Source organism: Homo sapiens, chromosome 20 (assembly GCF_000001405.40).
Source record: "Homo sapiens chromosome 20, GRCh38.p14 Primary Assembly".
Classification (NCBI taxonomy): domain Eukaryota; kingdom Metazoa; phylum Chordata; class Mammalia; order Primates; family Hominidae; genus Homo; species Homo sapiens.
This window is the reverse complement of record NC_000020.11, coordinates 1665656-1686143: the sequence shown is the minus strand read 5'-3', so window position 1 is coordinate 1686143 and position 20488 is coordinate 1665656. Positions and strand designations below refer to the sequence as shown.

Below are 20488 nucleotides of genomic sequence, written 5' to 3'. Positions count from 1 at the left end.
ATGGAATCAGGTGATCCTTCAACCAGCACCATAATTAGTTACATTTTAAAAATAATATTTCATTTGACAAACACAGAAGAATCATTATTTAAATCCTTACCAGAAGCAGACCTGGTTCCTGTCAAATATTGAGCAGTAGGTTTTGGGAACCCTTCTGCTGCCCCAAACTGAGGAGCAGGAGCCTTGAGGCTGGAGCCTTGAGGCTCCAGGAGGCAAAACCATCTGCCCAAGGCCACAGAGTGAGCTGAGAGACAGCCTGACAGGGTGTGTGGCTCCAGGCTCAGCCCTCTGTTCAGCACCCTGAGGATGTGAAGTCTGAAACAGTGCCTGAGTTGGGCAGGGGAGCAATGTTTCCCGGGGATGTTCAGCCACTGTCCTTCTTCAGGATGCTGCATACTTTGCCCTCTGTTCCCCCTGCTTCCCACTCCTCTGTAATCTCAGTGTTACCACCCATTTTTTTGTGCCCTCTTCCTCTTTAAGAAGGAATTTGCTGCTTTCTGGGCCCTGTAATCCTTTCCTAGGGCTTGCATAACAAAGTACTACAGACTGGGCAGCTAAAATTACAGACATTTACTTCCTTGCACTTTTGGAGGCTGAATGCAAGATCAAGGTGTTGGCAGGGTTAGTCTGTACTGAGGTCTTTCTTACTGGCTCGTAGATGGCCGTCTCTGCTCTGTGTCTTATTACGTGTTCTTCCCTCAGTGTGTGTCTGTGTCCTCATCTCCTCTTCTTCTGAGATCGCCAGTCATATTAGATTAAGACCCCCCCAATGACCTCATGTAACTAAATAGCTTCTTAAAGACCCTGTCTCCAAATACAGTCAAATTCTGAGGTTCTGGGGACTGGGGCTTCAACACATGCATTTTGGGGGACACATTCAGCCCATAACAAGTACCACAATCTACCTTGGTTCTTTCGACTTTACCATGGAGAATTTATTTTCCCTTCCCCAGGACAGGCAGGATTGGAAGACCTTTCCTGGTGCAGCCTGGGAGAGCCCTGCTCACAGCCCACAGACAGGCTGCCTGTCCTCACACCCTACTCAGGCCAGGGAGCTGACCCCAGAATCACAGGGCTGGGCACAGCAGCCTCCCTGCTCCCCACTGGCCCCTGCTGTGAGTCACCTCACAGGTCCTAGAGGACAAGGTTCTCACTTTTCAAATTATCTTTCTTACATATACACTTTACCCAAATGACAGTGGTAAGAGTTCAGCAATTGAGCTCTTCCTACAAGGTAGACACAGTTCTTAGTAATTTGTGTATTTTAACTCTACTTAACTCTACTAATCCTCACAACATCCCTATTTGAAAGCTACACCTATTAACTCCTATTTGAAAACAAGGAGTCAGGCAGAGGGAGGAGCTTGTCCATTGTCCCCTACCTCAGTCAGTGGAGCAGCTGGGATTCAAGTCCAGGTGGACCAACTCCAGAGTTCATTCTTTTAGCCATGTTATGCTACTTGTAGAAATATTAGCACATGCAGGGAAGTAAACATAGGAATAATCATCACCCATCACACCAGTCAGAGAAGTGACACTCAGAGTTAAAACGCTGGTGTATATACTCCCAACATTTGTTACAAATGTGTTGGATGACTTTTATGTGCCAAATATTTTACTGAGATTTTAACAGGTTTCATAATTTTATTTAATGCACAAAACATCTTTATATAGTATAAGGACAGAACAAACTTTTATATATATTTGTGAATGCATGTGTATATATGTATACATATATATATGTGTGTATAAGTGACTATAAGTGTACATACATGTACATAAGATTTCACATTTATTGTTATCTTTTTATTTGCAATGAAATGTCTCAGAAAAGAAATGTATTTTATTTTTGTTTGAGAAAAGCATATATACTTATCATGTACAACATATTATAAAATATGTGTACATGATTAATTTGAGCTAATTAACCTATGCATTACCTTACATGTATATCACTTTTTGTGGTGAGAACTTATAAACTCTGCTCTCTTAGCAATTTTCAACAATACAATTCATGTTATTCACTCTAGAAATCATATCGTACAATACATCTCTTAAACTTATTTCTCTTATCTAAACTAAAATGTTGTATCCTTTGACCAGTATCTCCCAACTACACCCCCTCCCCTGCCCCTGGTAACCACCACTCTAGTCTCTACTTCTTTTTTTTTTTTGAGACGGTGTTTCACCCTTGTTGTCCAGGCTGGAGTGCAATGGTGAGATCTCGGCTCACTGCAGCCTCCACCACCTGGGTTCAAGTGATTCTCCTGCTTCAGCCTCCCGAGTAGCTGGGATTACAGATGTCCGCCACCATGCCCGGCTAATTTTTTGTATTTTTAGTAGTGACGGGGTTTCACCATGTTGGCCAGGCTGGTCTCAAACTCCTGACCTCAGGTGATCCACCTGCCTCAGCCTCTCAAAGTGCTGTGATTATAGGCTCTACTCTCTACTTGTGTGAGTTCAACTTTTTTAGATTCAGTGTATGAGTGAGACCATGTGGTATTTGTCTTTCTGTGCCTGGCTTATTTCACTTAGCATAGTATCCTCCAGGTTGGAAATGACAGAATTTCCTTCTTTTGTAAGGCTGATTAGAATTTCATTGTGTATATATACCACATTTTCTTTCTCCATTCATCTGTTGATAGACACTTAGGTTGATTCCATTTTTGCTACTGTAAATAATGCTGCAATGGATATGGGTGCAGATATCGCTGTGACATGCTGATGTTACTTCCTTTGGATATACACCCAGAAGTGAGATTGCTGGATCTAATGATAGTTCTATTTTTAATTTTTGGAGGAAACTCCATACTGTTTTCAATAATGGCTGTACTAATTTACATTCTCACCAACAGTGGGTTGGATTCTCTTTTCTCCACATACTCTCCAATGCTACTTAAATTTCCTCATTTTGATAATAACCATTCTAACAGGTGTGAGATGATACCTCACTATGGATTTAATTTGCATTTCTCTGATGAATAGTAAGATTGGGTATTTTTTATATGCCTGCTGGCCATTTTAATGTCTTCTTTTGAGAAATGTCTATTCAGGTCTTTGGCCCATATATTAATTGAGTGAGTTGTTGCCTTATAATTGAGTTGCTTGAGTTCTTTATATGTTTTGTGTATTGACTCCTTATCAAATGTATAATTTGCAAATATATTTTCCCATTCTGTATGTTGTCTCTTCACTCTGTTGATTGTTTTCTTGGCTATGTATGTAATCCCACATTCATTTCTATATCCACGAGAAATGCACATGTAGAAGCTTTTTAGTTTGTTGTAATTCAATTTGTCTATTTTTGCTTCTGTTGTGTGTGCTTTTGGGCTGATATCTAGAAACTGATTGCCTAGACCAATGTTACAGAACTTTTCTTCTAGTACTTTACAGTTTCAGATCTTACATTTAAGTCTTTAATCCATTTTGAGTTGATTTTTGTATGTGGTATGAGATGAAGTTCCAATTTTATTTCTCTATACATGGATATCCAGTTTACTCAATAACATTTTTGAAGAGATTGACTTTTCCCTATTGTGTGTCCTTGAAACTTTTATCAAAGATCAATTAAGTGTAAATATGTGAGTTCATTTTTATGGAGTTGTCCCATATGGCATTTATTATGTTGAGGAACAATCATCCTATATGTAATTCATTGACAGTTTTTATCACTTAAAAATGTTGAATTTTTTCATATGCATTTTTGGGGCCTGTGTTGAGATGGTCATAGGGTTTTTGTCACTCATTCTGTTTATGTAGTGTGTCACATGGAGAGATTGCTGAATATCGACCCATCCTTACATTCCTGGGATAAATCTCACTTGACTATGCGAAACACACACAGGATTTTTAAAAGACTTTTCTTATTATTTCCTTCTAACCATTTCTTAGTCTATATGAAATGCACATTAAAGAGATATTTGGTTTTCCCTGTTGCCCACACTCTCTCTTCTTTTTTACTTCTCTGATCTTACCCCTCAAAGTCCCCCAATCTGTTAAGATAAGCAATAGATAAGCAAACCTCTTGGTAAAATGCATAGTCCCTCAAAATAGAACTTCCATGCATTACTCTATTAGTGTTCCCACTTTCATGAAGGGTAGGTGTGAGGAAGAAAGAAGTGGATAAAGTTGCAGAAACTTCGGCCTATAGCATCTATATCTATATAGTAACTATATCTATAGTTATATTAGTTATATCCATATCCATAGTCATACCTATATCCTCATCATCTAATGTCCATTGAAGCCTCCAAGCTTCAGGAAATCTACTGAGTAAAAACTTTATTTTATTTATTTATTCATTTTTTTGAGTCAAGGTCTCACTCTGTCACCCAGGCTGGAGTGCAGTGTTGCGATCTCAGCTCACTGCAACCTCTGCTTCCTGGGTTCAAGTGATTGCCATGTTTCTGCCTCCTGAATAGCTGGGACCACAGGGGTGTGCCACCACCCTCAGCTATTTTTTTATTTTTATTTTTAGTAGAGACAGGGTTTTGCCATGTTGGCCAGGCTGGTCTGAAACTCCTGACCTCAGGTATCTGCCCACCTCAGCCTTCCAAAGTACTGGGATTACAGGCTTGAGCCACTGTGCCTGGCCAACTTTATAATTTTTGAACACCCTCCATGTGGCAGACACTGTTGGAAACATCTTACAGCTCTTACTTTGGATGATCATTATATCCAAGGTAGAGATTCTTATCACCCCCTGCCCCCCACCACACACACACATAGATAAGGAAACAGAAGCACAAAGCATTCCAAGGTCATTCATTGGTAATTGGCAGAGCTATGATTTGAGCTCAGGCACTCTTAATCTAGAGATCACAGTTTTCACCATTACTCTTCCCAAATACTTCTGGCCCTGATTCTATTCCATGAGATTTCTGCAGCTGCTGCTAGTATGAGTGTGTGCAGGGGTGTGGTATGAGGAAGAGGATGTGTAGTTTTCTTCTCCTGGGCTCTTCTGCTTTCTGTATGATTGCAAATTGATTTTTTCTTCACCAACTCATCTACATGGGAAATTTATTTTCTCCAAATTCAACAGAAACAATCCATTTAAAATAAAAGATTTCAGTCTCTTAAGAAAGTATCCCACTGAGCAATTCACACATTATACACATATTTATTGGATATCTACTATGTTCCAGGACCTGACATAGAAATGTTGGGTGCACTGGTGAATAAAATAGAAAAAGTAGTTTCCCTTTTGTTCCTTATATCCACTGGAGAATGACAGTAACCAATACCCATGATAAGGAGGTAAATAAAATAGTAAATTAGACAGTGAATAGTAAATTAGATAGTGCCAAAAAAACAAGAAAGTATGAGTATATGACTTATAATTTTGAATGTTTTCATATATTCCTTTTATTGATTATTTTTGTCATAGAAAGATAGCCACATTTGTCAAAGGCTTTTCTGCATCAAATGGATAATCATGTGTTTTTCCCTTTATTCCATAAATATGGTACATTACATTGTTGTCATTTGTTTACTGAAACATCCTTGGATTTCAGGAATAACTATTATCTGCTCATGGTGTATTATCCTTCTACTATGCTATTCAATTCAGTTTGCTAGTATTTGGTTGAGTATTTTTGCATTAACAAACCTAGCAGTAATAATGCCAACTGTCAACAGAATGGTGTGCAGCTGGACCTGGCAGTGATTTTAATTTTGTGTTCTAGTGGAAGCTTAGTTTCCAATGCGCTTCATATCAGGTGAGCAAAGCCTGGATGTGGGACAATTTATGGTTAATGATTGCAACAGGAAAGTATGCCTTGTAGAACTGTACTCCAGACCAGGGGATCCCAGTAGGTAACCAGTCATTTGTTGTTTTAATGGAATATAGGATGAGGCCAAGAGGGGCATTGTTTCTGCATCAAAAGCCCTGGGGAAATTCATGGCCAACATGAGTGGTGAAGAGACTCCAACAGGCATGAAAGAAGTTGGCAAAATTTTTATAGAGAAGAGGTATTTTTGTTTGTTTGTCCGTTTGTTTGAAGGCACTAACAAGAGTATTGTTTTCGATGATGTGTAAAAGAATATGTTGCCACTAGCATTTAACAGAAACTTAAAGGTGTTGGATTATATGACATTAATACGTGTGTCAAATGAATCTGTTTTAAAGATGTTGTTATCAATGTAATGTCATCTCTGTGCTCCTGAAGAAAGGTGGATGCCATTATTGATATTGAGACATGATCCCCACTTTAGGATGGAGAGTCTTGGTAACACTCCCAAAAGGCAACACAAAGCTGAAGAAAGCAGAGTACAAGAAAGCCATCAGGGTAATAGCATCTCCCAAATGGTTGAGCCAATCAGAGTAGCAAATTAGCAAGCCATGAGCATTCAAAGGGAATCTCCTAGGAACTTTCCACCCTAGTTTAGAATGATCCCATTCTCATTGCCATTAGTGTTGAAAATGGTAGAGTAAGTCCTGCTGATTGGGTCTATAAAGAACACTCTAACATGACTGTGAAAATTTCATTTGGAGAGACATATGAAGATGAACAATTTATTCTACTCATAGTTCCCAGAGAGTGGGGTATGGCATGCCAGGTAGGAAGCCATATGGAAGGAGCTTCCGTGAAGCAGGCTCAACCAAGCAGATGGGGAAGCAAGACAGATTGGAACCCCAGGCAAGTGTCTTACTGGGAGTTAGGGTGGAGGACACAAAAACCATGATGGATTCACTGGTATGTTTTAATGCCACTACTCTACTAGGTCACAGCAGAGGAGGACAAAAAGGGGAATTGTGGCAGGGACCAGCTTTATCACACTGCTGTACCTGGTCATTTGGTAGGGTGCTCACAGCTTGTTTCAGGGATGTTGAGGCATCAGGAAAATATGAATTTTTTAAATGTACACCTAACTGGACATCTTTATTTCCTCATACAATTTTGAGTGCCATGTAGCATCCTTTCATTTCCACCCAAAGCACTCCTTTTAGCGTTTTTGTAGGTAAGGTTTAGTGGTCATAAACTCTCACCACACCAGTTGGGTGTGGTGGTGGGTGCTCATTTTCATGACCTGATGCCACCCCTTCTACAGATCAGGGAAGTTTGGGCCTGGAGACATCGTGCTATTCACGCAAGGATCCATGGCTGAGGATTTATCTGAGAATATCTTAATTTCTCCCTTGTGTTTGAAGGATGTTTGCCAGGTGTAGAGTTCTTGGTTGATAGGTTTTTCCTCTTTCAGCATTTTAAACATATCATTCCTCTGTCTTGTGGCCTCCAATGCTTCTGATAAGAACTCAGCTGATAATCTTACAAGGATCTCTCGCGTGAGAGGAATCGCTTCTCTTTTGCTGCTTTCAGAATTCTTTCCTTGACTTTAATTGTCGACAGTTGGATTATAATGTGTCTTAATGTGGGTCTCTTTGACTTTATCGCTGAGTTAAATTTGGGTTTCCTTGGCACCTTAAGCTTGTAGATTCATGTATTTTATCAAGTTTGGGAAGATTTTGTTCATGATTTCTTCCAATAATCTTCTGCCCCTTTCTCTTTTTCTCTTTTCCCCCAGAACTCTAGTAATGTGTATTTTTATCGATTTGATAATGTATCATCATTCCCTTAGATTCTATTATCTTTCATTTTTGTTGTATCTATACCTCACTGTCAATAATTTCAATGATTTCATCTTCCAGTTTCTTGATTTTTTTCCCACCTGCTCACTTGTTAGAGAACCTCTTTAATGAACTTTTAGTTGTAATACTTTCAACTCTAAAGTTCTCGTTTGATTTCTTTTTATAATTTCTCTTTGTTACAGTTCTTATTTTGTTACTGTATCATAATCCTGAATTATTTTAGTTGTTTGTCTATTGTTTCCTTTAGCTCTTTGAACGTGTTGAAGACAGTGGTTTTAACATCTTGGTCTAGCATCAGGGTGGGCCCACAGTGTATCACATGAGTCCTTATAAGAAGGAGGAGGCAGGAAATTAGGAGTTAGAGAAGCACATGTGAGGATGCAAGCCAGAGGCTGGAGTGATGGGAAGACGTAACTATGAGAAAAGAAATGTTACCAGCTTCCAGAATTAGTAAAGGCAAAGAACAGAGACTCCAGAAAACATAGCTGTTTTTTAAAAAAATTGTATATATGTAAGGTGTACCACATGATGCTTTCCTATACATATACATAGTGTAATGATTATTATAGTCAAGCAAATGAACATATCCATCATCTCACAGTTACTCTGCATGTGGGTGTGTGTCAAGAGCCCATGAAATATACTCTTTAAGCAAAAATACTAAATTCAATACAATATTGTTAACTCTAGTTGTCGATATATGGCATGTTCGATCTCTGGACTTCCTCATCTGACCTATCTTCAATTTTGTATTTTTTGACCTGTATCTCACCATTACCTCCCTGCACTTCACCCTGGTCAGTACCATTTTATTCTTCACCTTTACATACTTGACTTTTCTTCTTGATTGTAACGCAGTCACACAATTTTGGGCTTCTGAATTCCAGAACTACAATATGATACATTTCTTTTGTTGTAACACACCAAGTTTTGGTAATTAGTCGTATCAGCATTAGGAAACTTATGCTATGGGTGAAAAATTCCCAGGGGCTTAAAACAATGTTATTTCTTTTTAAGCTGCATCTTCATGGTGTGTTGGGGATTCTGCATGTCACTGTCACTCAGGAATCCAGGCTGATGGAGCAGACTCCATCAGAGCCTTGTGGGTCTCTGCGGAAGGGAGAAGGTGATCCATAGAGGTTCTTGCATTTGAATGCACAGTCCACGTATTATGCTCATCATTTCTACTCATGACTCAATGGTCTAAAGCAGTTACATGACCTCAGTCAATGAAATGGTCCAGAAATTGCAATACTCCATATGGCCAGAAAGTGAAGGCAAAAATATTTAGCAAAGTATGACACTTCCAAAGAGGGCTCAGGAGCTCCATTCAGGTCCTCAACCCAAAGCTCTATCTTAAAATTGAACCTCTCTGTGCCTCATTGTCCTCACTTCTAATACAGTCTCATGTTCTAATACAGTCTCATGTTTAAGCTCTATCTTAAAATTGAACCTCTCTGCGCCTCATTGTCCTCACTTCTAATACAGTCTCATGTCACAACAAGCTACAGGCTTGTTGTGAAGGTTAAATGAGATAATATATGCAATGTGCTGAGCTCAAGCTCTGCTCCTGATATGCACTCGATCAATGAAAGTCTTTGATACACATGAGGAAACACACAGGATCATGTAAGGATGAATAAATGACTGCTTTGTCATGAAAGTGAAAGCTGAGGAGGAGTTGCAGGTGATTCAGCCTGAGAAGTTCATGTCAGTCGCAGCTGGAGAGATGTCCACTCTGCACTGCACTGCGACCTCCCTGTTCCCTGTGGGGCCTGTCCAGTGGTTCAGAGGAGCTGGACCAGGCCACGAATTAATCTACAGTCCAAGAGAAGGCTACTTTCCCCAGGTAACAACTATTTCAGACTAGACAAAGAGAAACAACACGGACTATGTTCGAGGAGCTAAATAAAAGCTCCTTAAACAAAACCACTGACCGAAGAGCCAGCAATTCTCCTTTTCATCGGTTTCCCAAAGGCTCAGAATGCACCTCACATTCAGACACTAAAGCCCATTGGTGATTGGAAAAACTCTTCCAAACATAAACCCTATCATTCCTTATTGAGATTCCACGTCAGGACATAGAGAGCTGTTCCACTCTTTGACAGCTGCAGAATAGTCCAATTTATGAAAATATCAAATTTGTTTTACAGTATTCTGTTGATAAATATGTAAGTTGCTCCCAATGTTGAACTATTAAAAGAACCCTGCAGTGGGTGACCTTGTACATGTGTTATCCTACTCAGGTGACAAATGCCCACTGGAGGTGGCATTGCTAGGTCAGAGGGTGTGTGTGTTTTCATATGTAAGAACACTGCCTAATTTCCTTCCTAGATCATTAGCAATCGAGACTCCTAACAACCCTTAAACATAGATGGAGAAGGGGGCTTTATCCTGATTTTGCAGTTATTACAGATAAAGACGCAAGTTCCCAGTTGATGCATTCCCACCCTAGGCAATCACATCGAGTAAGTGGCTCAGGTGTGACCCCAATCTGCTACTTCCTAGTGAAGTGCTCACTCCTCTTTGCCATATTATCAGCCTAATTGATCCCTGGATGAGAAAGGAGGGAGGCAGGGAGGGAAGCAGGGAGCAGCAGCTGTGCCAGAGTCTCCTCATAACCAGTTCTAGGAAGGAGGAGCCACTTGTTGCCTCTTTTAACCCACTTAGAAAGAAAAAAAACAGTGCAGCTCACTGCCAGAGCTCATTTAATTTTACACAAACATGCTCTTTGAGGTTGAAGCAAATCTGACTGATTTTCATTGTGAAAATAAAATATAAAAACTGTTCTTGGAGTTATTTCTAAACAGAACTTGTCTCTAATCCTAATGTAACAGAAATGTACTTGATGTTACATTAGAATTAGAGACAAGAGTATTCTTGGAGCAAACAGGGTATGGGTTAAAGATGAGGCACTAAAGCTCAGAGAGGAGACCTGAGTGGTGAGCAGGTCAGGGAGCCAAGGTCTGATCCCAACCCAGCCTGACTCACAGCCCCTGTCTCTGCAACCCTCAGCTATGCTTTTTAAAGTGTGAAGAAATGCTCTAACCTCATTCTAAACTCTTGCATTGCTCTGTTTTACAGCAAAAAGCATTCAACACCAAACAAACAAAAAAAGTCCTGTAGGGGTAGGAGGGGCTGGCTTTACACTCTCTTTAGAAAGGTTCTGCAGATGGCTCATTATATGTCAAGCCTGTTCCTAAAGGACAGGTCTCAGCACACATGAAGCATTTAGGACTCTTCCCCCATGTTGTGCTGTTTCTCCTTCACTCAGCAGCATCTGTGGAGCAAAGTCGGGCCTCCTGCAGCCCAGCAGAGCACGTGCCCACCCCTTCTTGGTGCTGAGGACTAAGGATGAGGAGATGAGGTATTTCGTAGTGGGTGAGTGGGGCCACTGTAAGCAAGAGTTTCCATTCTCCCCTTGGGCTGTCAGGAGCCCATAGTGTTTTATGGCTACAGGGTATCTGGGCCCGGGCACCCAGGAGGGAGGCTTCTCTCTAGAATTGCATAAAGTCAAGAATCTCAAAGGGACAATTGGGTGTGCAGTCAGTGTTGGGGCTCAAGAATTCAGGGCACTTGCTCTGTTAATGGACATGAGTGCTTGGTAGGACACAGGAAGTGCCCACTGGGACACATGGAGGACAAGGAGGCAGTGCCTTCATTTCTCTCAGCCTCAGTTTCCTCATCTGTAAAATGGTGATCATCACGACTCCTTTAGGAGAGGGGATAGGATTTGAGGTTCTCTCTGTAAATCACCTAGCACATTGTAGGCACCCCTAAATCAAGCTGTTATTTCTTGTGATCTTGGGCCAGTCTTGCCTTCCCTTGAGTCCCCAGTTTCCCTATCTGTGCAATGCTGATAATCATGCACCAAACCCACTCTGGGTTCTGTGAGGATGGGAGAGGATGTGCACAGAGTCCTGAATGGTGGTGTTGTTCAGGTTATTACTGAGCTTCCGCAGAACAGTGGTTAGTGCAGGGCAGGCAGGAGCCCAACTGCCTGGGCCACTTCCGGGCTCTGGTACTTCCTGGCTCTGTGACCTGGGACAAGGTGCTCTACCACAGTGAGTCTCAGTGTCCGCACCTGTTGATGATAACACTGACCTCACAGACTGGGGACAGAAACTGAAGGAGTTAAATCCTTTTAAATGCTCAGAGCAGCACCTGGAGTGCAGTAAATGTTCCATAAATATGAACTGTGTGATGTCGAAGCTATGAGACCTCAGATGGGTCAGTGCTTCTCCAGGCCTCAAGGATACATGGGGTTTGGGGTGGGGTCTGGTGGCTTTCGATCTTGGCTGCTCATTAGAATCATCTGGGAAATTTGAAAAAAAAAAATTTAAATCCAGCCCAAGGCTCCCTCCTAAAAAAAAATGCCAGTTTAATTGGTCTGACATGAGCCTGGGCATGCAAAGTTCTCAGTGACTCCAGAAGATTCTAATACACAGCCCCCTAGCAAAAGTGGTCCTCCATTGTGTTGAGCATTGACAGCAGCTTTTCTGGATGTGGATGCTTCAGAATAACATGGGCCAGAGACATCTCAGAAGGCCCCAGTGGCCTGGCCAGGACCCTTCCCATGGAGCAGGCCTTAGGGGACAAGGAGGAGAAGCCTGGTCTAAGTCCTGCTCAGATCCCAGCCTCAGTGTTGGGAACAACTTTAACAAGTTTGTGTTTAAACAGCACTGAAATCCCAGCAAATCCTCACTCCTCAGCCCCAGGAGCCTCCCTGCCTCCACACACGAAGATGTCATGGAGGAATCTGTTTCCTATTCCTTCCAAAATGCTTCCAGCTTCTGTAAATAGCTCCTCTGGAGGGAAGCATCTGTGATCTTGTTTGTGTTTTGAAAGCCAATTTGCCAAACTTGTTTCCTGAGGGGATTGTTCAGAAAAGGGGAGAGAATCCTCACTTGGTGGTTTCTGCTCCTTTTGTCATTTGGGTTTGTCATGAGCCGCAGGGAGCAGGGTTTGAGCCTTTTCTCGGTGTTTCTGCTCCTCTTTGTTCTGCTGCCTAAAGGATAAATGTGTAGATTTAGAAGCAGTAATGACCAAACCTCCTGAAAACAGTCACAGGGGTCATTTGTTAAGCACCTACGACATGCCAGGCTCTGTGCTTTTCACTTGTCTTCTCTTATCTTACCAGGGTGGGGTTTGTGTCCACTTTTGGTCCTTGGCCAGCCGGGCCTCCTCTCTGAGCCTCATCCTATAAAGGGGCTCACATTAGGACCCCCTCACAGGGATGGAGGGGGGTTAAAAAGATTAAAGAGAGGTATAGAGGGAGCAGGCAGCATCAGGCTCCCATAAATGGAAATTGATTACATCCTCTCATCCCGTTAGGGTCGCCATGCTGGTGGTATCTTGATAACTTCTCTTCTTCAAGTGACACCCTCTTTACTGTGCCCTCAAAATGTCTGACACATGTTAGGGAGCAGGTTAATATGTACAAAGGCAAATATGTGTGATATATGCTTCCTGGTGATTGTTGTAGAAGATGTAGGGTAGTAATTCACAATTTGGAGGTGCCCTTTAGGACCTCTCTATGGAAAGAAACTGCCTTCATTTTTCTGATTCTCTAATCTGTGTGCTTTCAGGACGCAGGATGAGTGCCTGCCTGCTTAGATGGCCTGGGTCTGTGTTTCTTGTAGTTAACTAATGATGAAAACATTAACCACCTTTGGCTTTCTCAGTACTCAGTGATCTTGTTTGTCAACCCAAACCTGACCCAACTGAAGACCCAGATTCCAAAAACGTTCCCTCTTTGGAAAGGCAGCACTTGGCACAAATTAGGCCTGCTAACAACAACAACAACAACAACAAATGATTGGCCGAAAAGCCAAAAGAAATAGCATTTATTTGGGAAATAAAGAATTGTACTTTGGGTATACAGAGTCAGAGAAGTGCTGAATAGAGTCTCATACAGCAGTGCGGGAAAGGTTTTGTATAGGGGATTTTCAAAAAAGTTGGTTTTGGAGACAATTCAATGGCTGGGCAAAAATTCTAAACTGCAAACCTGTTTTCATTGGTTACTTAAAGTACTCCAGGATGAGAGAGATCAAAATCCCACGTACCTTGACTTCAGTTGTTACTCAGATCTACAGCAACATCCTGTGGCTTGACCTTTAGCAGGTGTGGGTGCAATGTTCTTACAAACTCTCGGCTCTTCGTTAAAGCTTTAGCCTTAATTACTTCATTTTCTTTCACAGATCCTGCTGGAATATTTGTGAAAAGAATGAACTATATGGAACAAATTCATAAATACCTCAGAGAGATCTCGGTGTATTCACGAAATTTGGGTTAAAGATAGAACTGTGTTCACTTATATGAAGCATCCTCTGTGTTTGATCCAAAGCAAACAGGGCCCCATTTAATCCTCACTGCATCCCGGGAAGCAGAAATGCTGTCCTATTTTACAGAAGAGGAGCTGGATGTGTCAGGCCACCCGTCTCCTGGGCTGAGCGGCCTGGTTCCAGCTCTCACAATGGCACCACTTCACCATTGTTCCCTGTATTGGCTTCTGTAAATGCCCTCTCTTGTTGGGAATAGGCCCCCTAAAATCTGGCCATAAACTGGCCCCAAAACTGGCCATAAACAAAATCTCTGCAGACTGTTACATGTTCGTGATGGCCATGATGCCCACTCCAGACGGTTGTGGGTTTACTGGAATGAGGGCAAGGAACACCTGGCCCACCCAGGGTGGAAAACCACTTAAAGGCGTTCTTAAACCACAAACAACAACATGAGCGATCTGTGCCTTAAGGACATGCTCCTGCTGCAGATAACTAGCCAGACCCATCCCTTTACTTCGGCCCATCCCTTTATTTCCCATAAGGAATACTTTTAGTTAATCTATAATCTATAGAAAAAATGCTTATCACTGGCTTGCTGTCAATACATATGTGGGTAAATCTCTGTTCAAGGCTCTCAGCTCTGAAGGCTGTGAGACCCCTGATTTCCCACTCCACACCTCTATACTTTCTATGTATCTTTAATTCCTCTAGCGCCGCTGGGTTAGGGTCTCCCTGACCGAGCTGGTCTCGGCACTCTCTGAGATTGGTGAACTCTCCAGGGGAGGCAGGCTAGGACCAGTCCATACACAGAGGGAGACCAATCAGTAACTTTGTTCCTGTGCCCAGATTGGTGGAAGTCACCCTGTTTAGAGAGGAGAACTTTGAACTCAGGTCTGGACTTCCTCACCTCTCAGAGCCTTTCCAGCCTGGTCGGTAAAATGAGGACACCACCCTCTCCACATTATTAGAAGGATTAAAAACTAATGTCCATGAAGGTTCTTAACATGTCACACACTCATCATTAGTGATGGTCATCTCAGTCATGTCTCCTGTTTATCGATGCTCCTTTTGTAGCCAAATCCTCTGCCCCTGTGGTATCATGCACTGCAGTGAGGACCACAGCTGAGCATACAGTGAGCTTCACCTGTGAGTCCCACGGCTTCTCCCCCTGAAACACCACCCTGAAATGGTCCAAAAATAGGAATGAGCTCTCAGGCTTCCAGATCAACGTGGACCCTGCAGGAGAAAGTATGCCCTATAGCACCTGCAGCACAGCCAGGATGGTGCTGGCCTCTGGAGACCTTTGCCTTCAGGTCATCTGCGAGGTGGCCCACATCACTTTACAGGGGGACCCTCTTTGTGGGACTGAAAACTTGTCTGAAACCATTCAAGGTAGAGAATCCTCACTCCTAGCCCAATCCCATATCTGGTTGCCAAGCCTGCTCCTCCTCTCTGGCTTTTACTCCAGGGCTTGGATTTCCTGGAATCTAATTCCTAACTGTGCTGCCCACCTTCCATGCACCTAGATGTACTGGTCACTTACTATCATTTCCATGGTAGCAGCTAGATGTCCACCCACCAGGTGGTAGACATCTGTGCTAGATAGATAGATAGCTTGCTAGCTTGCTAGATAGCTAGCAAGCTCTATGCTAGATAGTTTCATTTATTTCACCAAGAGCAACTACGATTAATGAGCACCTACTATGAGCCAAGGCCCTGTGTGCCTGGTGATTTCATTGATTTTGCTGCAGTTATGACATTTCAACTGCATGCCAGGGGTTGTGCTTGCAGATTTCACTCATTCTTAGCCTAGTAGGAGCTACCAGTCCTTGAGCACCTACTGTGTGCTGGGCGTTGTGCTTAGTAATTTCATTCATATGCAAAGAGCACCCTCAATGTCTGAGCACCTGATGCATGCCTAGCTCTGTCCTGGTGATGCCCTCACCGTGGTGGTGGGAGCTACTTTATGGAGCCCTCCCTGTGATCTGTCTGTGCCACAAGGTCAGAGCTTCTGCCCTGTGCTGTTTCAGTTCCACCCTTCTTGGAGGTTACTCAACAGCCCATAAAGGCAGGGAACCAGGTGAACGTCACCTGCCAGGTGAAGAATTTCTACCCCTAGAACCTACAGCTGACCTGGTTGGAGAACAGAAATGTGTCCCAGATAGAAACAGCCTCCATCCTCATTGAGAACATGGAAGGCACCTACGACTGGACAAGCTGGCTCCTGGTGAACATATCTGCCCACAGGGATGATGTGCTCACCTACCAGATGGCGCATGATGGGCAGCTGGTGGTCAGCAAAAGCCTTGCCCTAGAGGTCTCAGCCCACCAGGAGCAGAGCTCAGAGGCCACCCTTGGTGAGGTTACTCCCGATTTTAAAATTTTGTCTCTTTCCTTAATGTTAATAGTAATAGTCATGCTTGTTATAAAATAACCTAGAAATCTATAAACATAGAGTAGATTTTTAAAGTCAGCTGTCTACCCCAAATCCCACACTCCAAGAGTCACCATTACTAAGATTTTGATGCACAACTTGGTAGATCTTTTGACACAAATATATATTAAAGGAGGAAGAGAGATGCAGGGAGATCATCTGCTCATGGAGTCCTGTGTTTTGCCTTCTGTCTCAGATGTTTACTTATGTTCTCCATTCCTTGTCAGATCAGCCCTCCTGCTGTTCTTTCTCTGACTCATTTTTGTTCTGTCCTAAACTTTTCCATCCCATCTGCGACCTCATCCCAGCAGACTCTGGCATCTGCTGTGGGAAAATCAGAAAAGGCATTTAAGACTGGACCAGGCCCCCTGGGGACCGTGACTGGTCACAGCATGAGCCTCTTCTGTGTCCTGATGCTGATATTTGACCAATAATAACCGCAACATCCCTCTGCACATTTACTACGTGCAAATTTCCGTTCATCTATACTCTCCCTTCCTGCTTCAAACATCCAGTAGTTTGGAGTTTTACAGAAGAGAAACTCAGAACTTGAGGAACAATGAGAGATGTTGGGATGTTGTTGAAGATGTCTTGTCATTAGACAAGGTGATTAGTCTAAACGAATCAAGGTAAATTTGAGGCCCTGAAGACAGGGCCACTATCAGCCTGTACGGCAAATTTGTGCTAATTAGAGAAATATTCCCTTCTGCTAGACATTGTCCCAAGGATCTGAAGTTGGCCGATATTCCCCTCTCTTTGACCAAAATATGTCCTGTTTCCCTCTCATACAATACCAGGAGGGGTCTCTGCTCCAGAAGACTTTTCAAAGGCTTGGATTCCTCCTGCATGCCCTAAGACATTAGCCTCATCTGCTGGGTCTGTGCTGGGTCACTGATTTGTCCATGTCCCTGCCTGCTGGAAGAGTGAAGATAGGAAGTGAAGGACAAACAATTTCCCCTATAATCAGAGATGCATGGAAGGTGCATAGTCACGTCCACTGCTCACTCAGTCATGCATGCACCTGCAGTTGCAAATGGAGTCCATCCTGGGTGATCTGATGATTGAGGACGTTTTTCTACAAGATCAATATTGTTATCACAGTTAATAAAATTAACAAAAATTTCCTCATATCATCTAAATTGGGTATATTTTACAATTTTCTCAAATCTCTTTCATGGCTGTTTTTTGTGTGGTGTGTGTGAGCTAAAATTGGTTTTAATTCCTCTTTAATTTTTTGGTAAAATATTCCTGTGAAAGGCTGGGTGCGGTGGCTCACGCCTGTAATCCCAACACTTTGGGAGACCGAGGTGGTTGGATCATGCGGTCAAGAGATTGAGACCAGCCTGGCCAACATGGTGAAACCCCATCTCTACTAAAAATACAAAAATTAGCTGGGCATGGTGGGTGTGTGCCTGTAGTCTCAGCTACGCCGGAAGCTGAAGCAGAAGAATCGCTTGAACCCAAGAAGCAGAGGTTGCAGTGAGCCGAGATCATGCCACTGCACTCCAGCCTGGGCGACAGAGCAAGACTCTGTCAAAAAAAGAAAGAAAGAAAGAAAAGAAAGAAAGAAAAGAAAAAGAAAAAGAAAAAGAAAGAAAGAAAGAAAGAAAGAAAGAAAGAAAGAAAGAAAGAAAGAAAAGAAAAGAAAAAGAAAGAAAGAAAGAAAAGAAAAGAAAAGAAAAGAAAAAAAGAAAAGAAAAGAGAAAGAAAAAGAAAGAAAGGGCTCCTGTGAAAATATCTGGTCTTCAAGATATATTTTCAGAAGTATTAAAATTATCAATTCAATTTCCTTAACATGTTCATATATTTCATAATGAAGGGGATACATCCTGAGTAATGTGTCATTAGCTTGAGGGAGGATAGGTAGTCAAAGAAGTAACCCTGTTCTCAGGATGCAGCAAGAGTGATGGCAGAACAGTCAATACAATAAGACTCAGCATTGGCATTCTAATTGAGCTGATTAAAGCAAAGCTATCTATAGTAGGGACTTCCCCTCTGTGCATTTTGACTTTACCTGTCCTCAAACTGACCCTTTGCTCATTATAATAGTAAAAAACACATCCCTGGGTGGAGATTTAAGATGCTAATGAGCTATGCAATGTATGAACAAGCATATACAGCCACTGCTCAGGTGCACCCAGAGGACTGCCCAGAACATGCTTATTTGCAACACCTCTTTCCACCTCCTTATGAATAATCATTGAAGACTCCCTTAAAGGGAGCCTCCCTAGTGCCAGTCTTTGCTGTCTTATCCTTATGAACAACCCGTTTTGAATCCTCTCTCTCTCTCTCAGGAGGTACCATCTATTCTGCACATAACTTTCAAAATATTCTTTTCCTTTTGCAATAAATTACTCTATGCTGCATTTCCTTTGCTGTGTGTCTCTTGTTTAAATTCTTTTAAACTAAGAAGACAAGAACCAAGGTCTCACAACAGCTATCAACAAGCTAATTTGGTTTTGGCATGACCATCACAAAGTGTACTTACATAAACCTAGAAGGGATAGCCTACTACATACTACACACCTAGGCCATATGGTATGGCCTCTTGCTCCTAGGCCACAAACCGGTACAGCATTTTACTGTACTGAATACCGTAGGCAATTAGAACACAGTAGTTTTTGTGTATCTAAACATTTCTAGCCAGATATTGTGGCTTACACCTGTAATCCCAGCACTTTGAGAGGCCAAGGCAGGGGGATCACTTGAGCCCAAGAGTTTGAGATCAGCCTGGGCAACATGGTGAGACCCTGTCTCTACAGAAAAATTAAAAATTGACTACGTGTGGTGATGCACAGCTGTAGTCTCAGTAGTGGGAGTATCACTTGAGCTCGGGAGTTAAAGGGTGTGGTGAACCGCGATCACGCCACTGCACTCCAGTCTGGGCAACAGAGCAAGTCTCTTTGTCCAAAAAAAAAAAGTAAGTAAATAAACATTTCTAAACATTAAAAGGTGCAGTAAATGTATGATATAAAATATTTTTTAATAATTTTTTTAAAAATATTTTTTAAAATGGTACACATGTATTGGGCACTTCTCATGAATGGAGCTAGCAGAACTGTTTGCTCTGGGTAAGTCAGTGAGTTAGTGATGCATGCACGTGAAGTCCTAGGAAACTACCCTATGTAGACTTTATAAACACCATACACCTTGGCCATGCTAAATGTATATACATTTTTTATTTTTAACTTTCTTAAAGAGCTGGGGTCTCACTGTGTTGCCCAGGCTGGAGTGCAGTGACTACTCACAGGTATGATCCTACTGCTGATCAGTATGACAGTTTTCACCTGCTCCGTTTTTGACCTGGGCTGGTTCACTCTACCTTAGGCAACCTGGTGGTCCCTCCTCTTGCAGGAGGTTAGCCCATTGATTCTGAACTTAGTGCACACACTCAATCCAGAACTTCTGGGCTCAAGCAATCCTCCTGCCTCAGCCTCCTGAGTAGCTGGGACTACATACACATGACACAATGCCTGGTCTAGGCTATGCTAAATTGATTTTTAAAATATTTTGCCTTGTTCAATAATATATTAACCTTAGCTTGCTGTAACATTTTCATGTTATGAGGTTTTTAATTTTTTAACTTTACTTATTAGTAACAACACTCAGCTTGAAACAAACACATTTTATAGCTGTACAAAAATTTTTTTCTCTTTACATCCTTATTCTATGAGGTTTTTGCTAGTTTAGAACTTTGTCTTTTTTTTTTTTCTTTTTTAAACTGTCTTTGTTAAAAACTAAGACCTCCCACGCACATTAGCCTGGGCCTACAGGGTCAGGATCAGCAATAGTGCTGTCTTCCACCTTCGCATCTTGTCCCACTGGAAGGCCTTCAGGGGCCATAACCCGCCTAGAGCTGTCATCTCCTAGGAGAACAATGCCTTCTTCTGGAATCCCTCCTGAAGGACGTGCCTGAGGCTCTTTTTTTTATATATATCCAAAAAAGACCAGATTTTAATTTATATTTAAACGTTCCTAAAAATCAACAAGACCCAGCAGCCCAACTATAAATGGGCAAAATGACATAAATAGTACACATAAAAAGAAAAACAAAGGGCTTTTAAACTTGTGAAAATATACATAACCTAACCTTCAATAAGGGAAATGGAAAATTAGACTAAGTTGTGAGGCTCTTCTTGAGGAGGCGTCACTCCTTTCAGAAACAAGTCCATGGCTTCCTTG

General features: G+C 42.1%; 1 protein-coding gene and 1 pseudogene across 1 annotated transcript in view, besides 1 other annotated feature; one reads left to right on the top strand and one right to left on the bottom strand.

Moving 5' to 3' along the window:
• SIRPG (signal regulatory protein gamma) overlaps positions 1–20488 on the top strand; it is a 57304-nt gene that overhangs the window by 312 nt on the left and 36504 nt on the right. The gene's annotated exons all lie outside the window — the stretch shown is intronic.
• Positions 12308–12809: an enhancer, noted in NCBI's record as "NANOG hESC enhancer chr20:1653981-1654482 (GRCh37/hg19 assembly coordinates)". NCBI's record gives its function as "activates a minimal SCP1, AML or CMV promoter by ChIP-STARR-seq in naive H9 embryonic stem cells {active_cell/tissue: H9 hESC(naive)}" and the evidence as "EXISTENCE:reporter gene assay evidence [ECO:0000049][PMID:30033119]".
• Positions 19504–19784, bottom strand: RN7SL561P (RNA, 7SL, cytoplasmic 561, pseudogene; annotated as a pseudogene).